The following is a 12855-nucleotide window of genomic DNA, read 5'->3' on the forward strand; positions in this document are numbered from 1 at the left end:
AAATTAATTTAGTTTACTTTTATTATAACTTCCCCCTTACTTAATTCTAAAGTTAAAATTTCCATTTTAGTTCCTTCGCACGTCTTTTATTTTAAAATAATACTCCCAAATTATTATTTGTTAGTCCCCTTTACTCAGAATTTGCATTTCATCTCCACCCCGCCCAGCCACATCATTTTCTTCCCCCTGCCTCCACCTGAGAGATGGCTTTACTTTTATGTCATTGAGGCTGCTAATATTTGCATTCTTTTCTACAACCACAACCAGTGCCTTCCATTTGAAGGCTACTTGAAGAACAAACGTTGTGATTATGTAAGACTCTACTTTAGGCATAGGAATCATCCATCTTATTAAGAAGCTCCTTGTGCAGTTGTATATTCTTTAAAGAAGTAAACAATTTTTCAAGACCTCCATCTACAGTACCTGTAACTTTCAGCTTTTCAGCCCCAATGGTAATCTCATCTTCATCTGCAGAAAACAGCACCCTGCCATCTTCACTGGCTCTCACTTCAAATCTTTTACACTGAGCTTCCACAGCATCAGCTCCTATGGTCAGAGGAAAGGTTTAAAAATGAAACTGGTATGCAGGAAACCATTAACATGTATTTTTTGGAAATAGACTAGAAATGCATATATTATTTAATTTGTTTATCTCTGCTGTATGTTTTGCATCTGAGTTAGTATCTTTAAATTGTCACCATTTTCAGGAGGCTAATTTGGGAATGTACTTCTGTGCTAGGCTGGTTAGGCATACAGGTGACCTCTGGATGTCTGACATAGCATGTGAGTTTAGCCAGTTAAGAGCCCTTCACATATCCACAAAAAGAGACAATGTTTGCTTTGTTCTCTGTTGCAGGCTGAAACCTTGGCATCATACCTGGCACCTGCTGGATGCTTAATAAGTACTTGTGGACTGAGTGACTCTCATGCCTTACCTCTGCAGTGTAGACAATAGTACCCATGCTTGCTACATCACGGAGGACTTGTTAAGCATTATTCAATTATGAATCTTTAGCTAGTCTACATGTCATAGATTCTAATATTGATGTTTTCTACCCTTTAATATAAGTGAATTTTAATCCATTTTATAGTACATCTTGAAATTATATATATAATTTCCTTAGTGGTACCTAATGTATCTTCCAATCAATAATTTTCCTGATTTATTGAAAAACGGTATTAAATAAATGTAATTACAAAACCAACTTACTGGCCAATTCTACACACTGATCTATACACAAAACTCAAAGCCAGCTTCCATATTTAGAAAACACAATTAGTTTGAGTATTAGGCTTTGGCAAGAAAATCTAACTGGGCCTTGAAGGTGAATGTTAACTGAGGAGGAAGAAATTTGAGATAATGGCCAGCAGTAATTCATCTTCCCATAATTCATATTATGTCCAAATTTCTTTGGACATAACACTTTTGGCATATGGATCTATAGTTCCCGCTCCTATTAAGATAGGAAACCTTCCTCCTCTTCTATTTATATTAAAAGCTCTTATCAGATAGAACCCAGCTGAGTCAGGGAAGTAGGAATCACACATGTGGGGCATAGTTCTTTTCATTTGTCTTTATGTATTCACTTTATTTATTAGATATATGACACCCAGGAGCTCAAAGCAGGACATCATCTTTGTATTCCAAAACATCCTTAAATTGGGAGATGTGTCGCTTCTAGTAGCACCAGTAGATGAATATTAAATAGATGAATGAATACTTAAGCTTTCATCCATTCATTGGTCCCTAACCCCACCTCAGCACTACTCCCAGTGCTAGCCAATAGGCTGCAAAAACTTACTCCTCCCCATCATCATAGCTGCTGAGGAGCATTCATCAAGAGAAAAAATAATTTAAAACCCTAATAACATGTAAGCTAATTTCTCCAAAAGCCATATGTATTTTTTTTAATATTCTGAAACTACATACATGCTTCCAGGACCACATAAAAATTTGAAAAGCTTCAACTAGGGCTATGCTAAGTAAGATTAAAACTAATGTTAAACTTTTGGGCTGTAAAGTTTAAAATAACAGATTTTTAAAAATAGAATTCATGCTTTTTAAAAATTTTTAAATAAATACCTTTCCTTATATAATTTAATGAAAATATGGAAACCATTGAAGACCTATTGTCCTTGGTCATAGTTGTTGCATTTGATCTTGAAAACATTATTTCGACAGCTTGTATTCATTTGAGTGTGATTTGTTCTAATCATAGTCTAATCTTATTTTGTGCCATAGACGACAATGAGCCATAGTAATCCAACTATTGGGTGATGTTCAAAAAACTGTGCCAGAGGCCAATGTGTTAATACATGTGACTTACTCTGAGGGACCCAGGCACACATTAACCCTGAACTGCCTGAAAGGTATTATAGATATCTTACACATAAAACCTCAATATTTACAGTACATTGCTTCCTTCAAATATACTCAGTTGCTGAGCATAATTGATTCTCAAAATATATCGCTGACTTTAATGGCATAGATGTACATTAGACAACATTAAACACACACACCCACACACACATAATACCAAGACTTTTCTTGGCATAACACTTAATGTCATTATATGAAAGATACATTATTAACATAAACATGCTATATTGCATGACATATAAACTGTTAGAAAAATAAGTGGAGAGGTGTCTGGATATGGTGAAGTGAGGTGAAACCTTAATTCATTAAATGTAAATAAGCAAAGGCAAATAAGCAAACAAGAAAATATTTACGCACATAGATGAGATGCATCTAAGCCATAAATAAATGCATGCAGAGTCATCTAATTGAAAAAGAGATATAAAAATTCATACTGCAGACTACACTTTATTCATCATATTAGCATAATTACAGAAGGCAAAATTACAAGCAATTAGCAATGCATTGATAGTACATAAATATTCTAAATCAGAAAATAATTTTGAATATATTGCATTTATACATTGCTTTTCTTTCCTGCAAATGGAAAATGATATGTTCTTGGGGATATAGTCAATTATTAGGGATATTTATGCTTAAAGTTAATATATTAGGCTTTATGAAACTGATTTTATTATATTCTAAGATGCACTGTGTTACTTATCTGTTTTTCATGTAACATCACATGTTCTCTAAGATAGGTCAAGGCAGGATTCAGTTACTTAGAGAAGCAACAATGCCCCATTCAATCTTAATCCACCAATGATGCTGCCAGTGTTGCAGGAAAGCAATGTGTCTAGATGACTCTGGGTAAGGAGCTCTGATTCCTTAACAAGTAGATCATAGGTGATGGGATTATCTGGGTAGTGCTATATTTTCTTAGTCATCTTAAACACCAACTTGCTAACTAAAGTACCAAGACTAAACACTTCCTTAGGAACATCTCTGAGAAAGTTTATGTCAATAAACTCACAATCAACAAAGAGAAGTCAAGGATAGAAGAAGGAAAGAGAATTGGCAAGAAAAAAAAAGATGTAAGCAAAATAATAGGTTCCATAAAAAGACTGGAGTATTAGATATATGTGCAAATATTTTCTCTACTTTTTTAAATGTTCTATATACATTCTTAAAAGAACAAACCACCACCATCACCAAGGACAAGCATAAAGCCAATTTCTTGCTTCTCTCAGAGATGGCTCCATCACTTTTTTTGAACATTCACATCTGTTGCAGTCTTAATCAACAGCCAAAGTCATCTTTGGCTGACAAAGAGAGATAATTCAGTAATTTAAATACTGGTCTTTGTATGTTCTACAGTACATCGGTCAAATACATGAATTGGAAATTTTTCTTCTATTACATAAAAATCTTCAAAGAGGCTCAAATATATATTTTCAAGATTCCTCTTGGTACTATTTAGCAGTAATTCAAGGAAAACAAAACAAAGATAAAAATGGATATAGCTGCTTGTTTCTAGTGTGTCTTCCTCAAACTTGTCATGATCATCCTTTCTTTTCTATATAACTCTTCACTTTAATCTTAGATGCCTGTCAGTATTTTCAAGGCCTTGAAGAATAGTATTACTAAAAGATTCAAAATTTCCACAAGGAAAACAAAAATGAGATTCAAAATTACCAACTAAATTCTATATTCAGAAATTCCTGGTTTAGAATTGCTGTGGGCCAAATCAGTCAACCAACCAACAACAAACTAAGTTTAAAACAAAACAAAATAAGCTGCTTTCATGAAATATAAATATAAATATACACTGTAATATGGTTTGGTTGTCTCCCCACCCAAATTTCATATTGAATTGTAGCTCCCACAATTCCCACATATCATGGGAGGGACCCAGTGGGAGGTAATTGGATCATGGGGGCAGGTCTTTCCTGTGCTGTTCTCATGAGTGTGAATAAGTCTCATGAGATCTGATGGTTTTATAAAGGGGAGTTTCCCTGCACAAGCTCTTATCTTCCCGGCTGCCACGTAAGATGTGACTTGCTCCTCCTTGCCTGCAGCCATGACTGTGAGGCCTCCCCAGCCACGTGGAACTGTGAGTCCATAAACCGCTTTTTCTTTATAAATTAGGCAGTCTCAGGTATGTCTTTACTAGCAGTGTGAAAACGGACTAATACGCATTGTGAGTTCTTTTATTTTACCCTATGCTAGTCATTAAGAACTCATTGTGCAACATTTGCAGAAAATCTGTTATATGAGATCCCTGGAAAAGGAATTGCCTACTTTTTCTTTACTTTGTCCCTAGATTTTCCAAACAAAACTTCAAGTTAACCATTTAGCGGACTTACTATATGCTAGGCAGCAATGGAAGCATTTTACAAATATAAATTAATTAATTTAATCCTCATAACAATCATGGGAGGTGATCCCTATTTGACCGATGAGGAAACCAAGGCACTAAGATTTAAGAAATGTTCCTAATATGTTATACGTAATGCACTCTAGAGTTAGGATTCAAGCCAAGGCTGTTTGAGTACTAAGTCCTAAGTGCTAAGTTCTAAGAGCTAAGGGAGTCTTTGTGTGGCTCTATTATATTCCTAACTTTTATACCTCCTGGAGAAGGTACAACTTGACATTCCACAAGATTAATATTTGGGGGAACTTTTTTGCTAATGATGTATAACAAAATTAAAAATAAATTTCTGAAGAATGTATGTTGACTCTTCCTTCCTCTGCCAGCTACTGTCTCCCCCTGCTCCCAGTACCCCATCCTCCTAAGACCCTTGGCTGACAACCTTCTTGAAAGCATCTTATTGAACACCATTTTCAATTCCTCCATTCGTAGTCTCCTTAAAGCCAACTCCAATCAGGCATTATCTCGTCAGTATTACCAGTAACTTCCAAGTCAGTAAATTAAGGGGCCAATCCTTGATTTTTTACCTTACTTGATCTTTTAGGAGAATCTGACACACTTTCATTTACTTTTCCTGGAAATCTTTGCCTCACTGGCTCCCAGGACATCCCTCTGCTGCTTCCTACCTCCTTTGTCACCCATGTCCATCTCCTTTACCAACAACACACTTCCTGTAGCCAGTCCACAGGGGTATGTGGGGCTGGCTATCTTTCGCTAGTAATTGTCCAGTTCTGTTATGAGCATTATTTTCTCTGACCAAAGCAATTGATTCAAGCATAAGCAGTTGACTCCAACACTCTCTTGATACAAGTTTTGAAAAAGAGGCATATTTTTGTAAGACTATAGGTACCGAGCATGATATAAACTTGGAGCTTTTAAGGCTAGCTGTACCTCCATATGGATGCAGTCTGCTTGAGAATTCATCCAGTTAGTGAAAAAAGAAAGAAAGGGCTGAAAGGCAGAGACCAGCATAGAAAGACACTCTTGGAGAAATTGCTGAAACAGCTGGATGGAGTCAGAAACAAACTTTCCTATTACTTGAATCAGTAAGTTAAACACCCCAGGAATACTTGAATACTTTGTAAATTTTAAATTGGGTTCTTTCACTTGATTTTTTTTTTTTTTACTTTTCCTTTATTCTTTGAGTTTTCATATATTATTCTCTGTATCTCTCATCTTAACCTTTATTAAATAGAAGTTTTAGAAATCTTCCACTTTCAACAATCACTGCATCTCCCCCCGCACCGAATCCACACGTACAAATCCTCAGTATTTAATTAAAAGAAAAAATATGCTCTAGCATTTCCTGAAGTAATGCTGTGAGGAAAGGTACAAAAACATTCTGAGGTGAATTTTCTCATAGCCTTTGTATTAGGTAAACTACATTTCTATTTAGACAATTTCAAACCTGATCTTAATGGCATAAATATTATATTTCTAACACTTGTATTCTTAGATCTTTTTATTCCTAAAATAATAATATTAATAAAGGAATTGTGTGACTACCTAGCAAGCCATTTAATAAACTAACACCAGGAATGTGATATTCATTCCTGGGCCTGGCCTCTATGAATTTTAAGAGGATAAGGTAAAAATGATCTCTCTATCCACTTCTATTGACTACATTGTCTAAGAGAAGTGAATGCAGATGGCCTCAACCCACTGTTTTATTTAAGGGTCCCAATGGAACAACATATGTACAAAATATTGTTTTTACATTGTATACAAACATAAAATGGCAATATTTCCAAACTGTAGCTAGAACAAAGTTGACGGGTGAGACGTTATTTTGTAAATATTTTTTACACCTCATAGTCATTCAAATAGGTACACGTCCTTTTTGACTCGTTAAGAAAAAAATAGAAACAAAAAATGGCATGTCACATGCAATGAACAAATACTATGAGAATTATTATGCAAGTGTAGAATCAATGAATACTTAAGGAATGAAAGGAGATTGTGATTAACTGCATTTCAGGTCATTACTTTTGAAGAAAAAAAGGATAATAATCCTAGTGTCTTCTGGTAATCTCACATTCGCTAAATTCATTTTGGCAGTTGTTAATGTCAAAAATGTTACTGTATAATTTATGGAAGGTATGTGGGTAGAAGGTGGAAGTTGCAAACCCATTTCTTGAAAATATTTTACTAAAATGTTTTGCATTGCATCTTGTTACTTTTTATTTCTAATATGTGTTTCATTAAAAAAAAAAAAAAAAAACTAACACCTCAGAATTTTTTTCTTTTTCTCATTTATCATCCCTGGTCTTCGGCTACATTTTGACACATGTATCAGGGTAGTTTTGCATAAGTTGTTCATACTTCATTTTTCTTTCTACCATGCATTTTCTGATATTTTGTTTCAAATAACATCTTAAAAAGAGATCTTCATGTTGCACTTTAAACACAATTATGAAGAGTTGGTGCAAAGTTTTCTAATTTATTTTTATGCATCTTTCCTCTAAACTATATGTAACATAACTTGTTTAGTTGCAGAAGTAAAATCTGCAGATGTATTCAACTGGTAGTATAATCTCCTAGTACCAATTCAGTACAAGTTCCACATGAAATTTCAAATTTTTTCTCTATTTTAAAAATATTCTATTTTGAATATTTATCACTTAAATATCATACTGAAAGGCATTTTAAAAGTACATATATTTACATTTTCTAACATAAAAAATCGTATACAGAAACCATTTTAAATGGAGAATGTATTATCTCATTAAAATGTTATCAAAGAGTTTCTATCTTTTCTTGAGTACCTCCTAATATATTTATTTATCCTACCACTTATGCCTTTTAATAAGGATATCTAAGCTATGCTTATTGACATTTAGTTTTTATATAAAAATTATTCTATGTTTCATCTTGATAACAGTAAGATTTCTTGTTTCTGAAATTCATTTAGTGGAAACATGCTTTTAGTGTCATAAATCAGTGAATTAAATGCTGAACAAGAATAAATGTCAAAATTAACAATTTAAAAAATCCTATTATATAACTGTTTCATTACAATATCTTAGGCAACTGCGTTACTATTTTTTTTATAGCTAGTGTATATGGAATGCTTAGAATTGCTTGCTTTGAAGAGTATTATTTGTGGTTCCCAAAGAAGTATCACAGAAAGTCTGGTTTCTGAAAAAGATGACCAGATAAGGTATTTGCATTAAAGCTCTTATATAACAAATGATGACCTAGTGTTTTATGCAAGAGAATAATCTTCCAAATTCCACACAACAAAGACTTATTTTTTGTTCATGCCCATTTCCAGCATGGGTCAGCAAACATGCTTTAATTACTGTAATCACCTACAAATTCAAATGATGAAGGCTTTATCTCAACACAGTCTTTCAAGATTGTGGCAACAAGAGAAAGGGATATGGCCAACTCAGCACTGCCTCACCTTTCATTTGGAAGGAACACATCACATTTTATTTCATTAGCAAATGAAAATTACATTGCCTGGTCTGTTTTTAGACATGCAGGAATGAATAATCCCACTGCTAAACTGAAAGGATTATTGGTTAACAGCACGAACGGCGCCATGCCTCTCAAAGGCCATGGTGGAAAAATGAATCTTGGACTTATTTTCTCATGTAAACAGTTATAAAACTGGGCAAAATGTTTGTTGTAATTGTCTTTCAGATATTAGACAAAAGACAACAGGATGGTGATCTCTGAGGCAAAGAAATACAACGTGTACTCCACATTCATTACATCGTTTTCCTAAGGACCATTTGCAAATCACAGTACAGGGAAATAGAGCCCATCGGTGTTGGCAGCTAGCAGGAGGAGAGATGAGATTTCAGGAAATTGATATGGACAGAATTTGTGGGGCAATGAAACGGAGAAAGGGAGCTGAGCTTACAAGGCTCTCCAGAAAACTTATAGGAGCACTCTTCAATCTTTGTAAAAAGGCTGCATTGTACATGGACAGGATGATACCATATGATAATTATTAGATAAAGACTACTAGGGAATGTGTGAGATGAACAAAGGTTATCAATGCAAAATTCTAGATGTTGGGCTTCCAACCAGAGTGTTGGTATTTCCCTAAGCACCCTGGACATGAAGTTGAGGCCCCTGAGTGCCACAGTTTAGAACTAAAACTATTTAGACTGTAAAATAATAACTATTTTAGATTCAGTCTAGAAAGTCTAAAATCATACTTGAACAGGAGCAAGCTGATATGCTAATAAACTAACTTCCTGCTTTGAGAGTTTTTTTTTTAAGAGAGACAACAACGTTTATTCTTTCCTAAAATTACTAGATGTGCAAAAATGTGGGAAAATTGACACTAACCAGGAGAAAAATCAGCAATAGAATGGGGCCCAGATTTGCTCCATATGCTAGAGTTAGCAAAGATATGAAGTTATTATAAACATGTTCAAAGATGTAAAGGAAGACGGACATAATGAATGAACAGAAGATGAATCCTAGCAAAGAAATTGATTTTAAATGTAAGAAAAAAGAAGGAAAATGAAATGCATAGGGCTGAAAAATTCAATATGTTAAGTGAAAAAAATCAGCAAATGGGACTAAATTCGCGTATTATAATTCCTTCTGAAGAAGAAAGAATTAGTGAACTTGAAAAGGTGTGTATAACAACTCTCCAAATGAAGCAGCAGAGATAAATGAAGACTAGGAAAAGCATAAATACAACGTCCATGAGCCTGTGAAACAAGTAAAAGAGGCTTAACTAAAAAGCCAATACTGGAGATTAAACTGAACATTAAAAAGTACTCAACTGATGAAATGGAGCAGGAACAGAGGATAAAATAAACAAAAGATAGAGGAGATGTACAGGAAACAGAGCGAGATGATAGACAAATGGAAACATATCAATAATTGCATTTTAAATATAAATGGACAGACACTAAACACTGCCATAAAATTCTTACAAAAACAAAAATTTAAAGTTTACAAATCTTACAAGAGATATATTTGAAATATAAAAACAGACATGCTAACATACATGACTGCAAACCTTTTAATAAGATATTAGAATGGTTATATTAATAACTGCTAAGTAAACCTCAAATCAAGGAGGATAAAGAGTTTTAAAAAGCTACTTTGTAATGAGAATAATAATGAAAAATAGAGTTTCAAACAACATGAAAAGTAAAACAAAATATATAGAATAAATAGATAAATCCAATCCAATACAATTTTCATACTTAACTTAAAAATTATACAGACAGGTAAGTGACCTGGAATAGTTAATACAATCTTTAAAAAGAACAAAATTGAAACACTTTACCTGTTTTAAAGACATACTATCAAACTACATTAATCAAGACACTGTGATATTGCATAACGATAGAAAATACATCAGTTTATCAGAATAATGAGTCCATAAACAGACTCAATGCATGTAGTCACATGTACATGGTTCAACTGATTATTTTACAAGGATGCCAAACAATTTTCTGGAGAAGAAAATGTGTTCAACAACTGTAGCTGAAACACTTGATCATACATGTACTTCTAATTTAAATTTACTGGTATTCCTGACAGAGAGGAGACTGAATGAAACACACAAATTCATAATGAAATAATGAAAGACACAAACTCAAGAAGTTCAATGTATGCCCAGCCTACTCCCAAGAAATAAAATCCCCACCTAAGCGCATCTTAGTGAATATGCAGAACACCAAAATAAAAAAGAAACAACACTGAGAAAATAAAGATAAATTACCTTCAAAGAGCAATATTTAACCTAATACTGACCTCTCAATATGAAACGGAAATAAAATAGTGGAATATGGTGTGCCTTGCCAGGGCTGCTGTAATAAAGACCACAGTCTGGGTGGCTTAAACAATACAAACGTATTGTCTCACAATTCTGGAGGCTAGAAGTCTAAAACAAAGGTGTCAGCATAAATGCTTCCATCTTAAAGGCTCTGAGAAAAGGATTTGTTCTGGACTTCTTTTCTTCCAATATCTCTTGACATCATCTTCCCTTTTGATGGATCTGTGTGTCCAAATTTCCTGATTTTTGCAAGGACAGGGGTCATATTGTATGGTCCACCCTATTAATCTCATTTTAACTTGGATATTTTTATTGCCAAATAAGAACCTATACCAAAATAAGGATACATTCTGGTACTGAAGGTTAAGACTTCAACATATTAATTTTGGGGTGGGTTGAGGGGCATATCATTCAACCTATAAAATGTGTCTTCAATGCCCTAGAAGAAAAAAATTTTTAAATGCCAATCTCTAGGATTTTATGTCTAGCAAAATTATCATCCAAGGTTGAATGGCCAAAGATATTTACAGACTAATAAAACCTGAGAGAACGAATCATGAACAAATTTATGTGAAGAAAATTATAAAGGACTATTTTCATAAAAAAGGAAATGAAGACAGCTCAAAAATCAGAGACATGGGAAGGAATTCTTTTTAATTATAGTGGAAAAATATGAGTAGATGTAAGAAGTACTGAATATAAAAAGCAATAATAATGTCGTAGTTTGAGAAATATAGAGAAATAAAATGCCCATAAGTAATGGAATATAAATTTGGAAAAGAATAAATTAGAGGTTATGCATTCTGAGGTTGCATTATCCCCAACCATCTTAAGATACAAAGTAATAGACTTTGGTAAATCAAATTTTTACTTTTTCTTTTGGCATAACTACTAAAATAATAGAAGAATCTAAATTAGTATGTTTAAAAACACTATTAATAAAAACAACATGCAATCCAAAAAATGCTACAAGGCAAGAGAACAAAACAAAAAAGGAGGTAGAAAAGGAGATTAAATACTCAAATATGTCACTAATTACACTAAATACAAATGGACTAAACACTCCAGGTTAAAAGTCAATTATAATCTAGCTGGATATAAAACCAAATCCAATCATTGGTAGTTTATATCACACAAGACTAAAACATAAAATTCAAAAATAATTAAATTGATGAGATAAGAAATGATATATTATGCAAATACCAAATGAAACTGTACTGGTATACCTGTAGTTACAAAGCATTAATATATCTATTAGGTGTTATTCCATAACGACAAAAACTAGAATCACCGTGAATCTATTTCAAATTTTGCATCATTATGAATGTATGATTTTCAAAACACAAAGCAACATTGGACCAAAGAACAAAAAGAAATTGTCAAATCCTGAATCTTAATAGGAGATTATAAAATGCTTTCTCAGTAGTACAAACAAAAAAGTAAATAATGAAACAAAACATTATCATCAGTGTTAGCATACTGGTCCTACACAGAACCCTTAGTCCAACAATATGCCATAAAGTACTTCTTTTCAACTGAATATTTTACAAGGCAGGTTATAATTCTGGCATAATGCAAATTTTAACATATTACATCATGGAAATTACAAAACTTTTTATCTGGCCACAGCATAATTAATTTTGAAATGAAAAACAAAAAGTAACTAATTTTTATGTTTATAATTTAAAAACTTTAAAATAAGCCATGAGCCAAATTCTAAATAACTGTAATTAGTAAGTGTTTCAAACTGAATAATTACAATATTATTGTCAAAACTTGGGAAATATTACCAAGTCAGTACTGACAAAGAAATGTATGTCCTCAAATGACTGTATTAGAAGTCTTAATATTAATAGTCCAACATTTAAGTTGAGAAGTTAGAAACTAATAAATATAAAAGGACAAAAATATAAATTCTCAAAATGTATGCAGTATAAACTCTCCCCCACCAGGTTACTCAAGGGCATATGTCCATTGCTTGGATCAGGCTAGGTTCAAGTGGGTGGGGGGCCAAGAACACGATACCCAGCCTAGGAGCAGGTGTCAGACCCCAAACATTATGGAGAGTATCTGAGATGCTATCAAGCAAAACTGTCTCATTGCTAAACCATAGTAGACAAAGAGCCAGAAAATTAGCTGAAAAGCAATTTGGAGACAGGAGGCAGTGAGGATCTTGAAAGCTCTCCTGTTGCCATCCAGGAGTGCCTTGTATGTAAGTCCTAATAAACTCAAGAACACATCAAACTGGACTTGTCCAAGTCATTCTTTGGTCTCTGAGCTCCTTCCTACTTTGGGAGCAGGACACGTTAC

The 12855-nt window shown here is 33.5% G+C and overlaps 1 protein-coding gene across 4 annotated transcripts in view; it reads right to left on the bottom strand.

Annotated features, from left to right (window-relative positions):
• SGCZ (sarcoglycan zeta) overlaps positions 1 to 12855 on the bottom strand; it is a 1153587-nt gene that overhangs the window by 79312 nt on the left and 1061420 nt on the right. For 2 of the 4 annotated variants that reach the window (NM_001322879.2, NM_139167.4), the window contains one exon: positions 424 to 546. The exons of the other annotated variants lie outside the window; for them this stretch is intronic. In NM_001322879.2, the coding sequence (NP_001309808.1) occupies positions 424 to 546 (123 nt within the window). The remainder of the gene's footprint in view (positions 1 to 423; positions 547 to 12855) is intronic. 4 annotated transcript variants of the gene reach the window in all.

Source organism: Homo sapiens, chromosome 8, assembly GCF_000001405.40.
Source record: "Homo sapiens chromosome 8, GRCh38.p14 Primary Assembly".
In the NCBI taxonomy this organism is placed as follows: domain Eukaryota; kingdom Metazoa; phylum Chordata; class Mammalia; order Primates; family Hominidae; genus Homo; species Homo sapiens.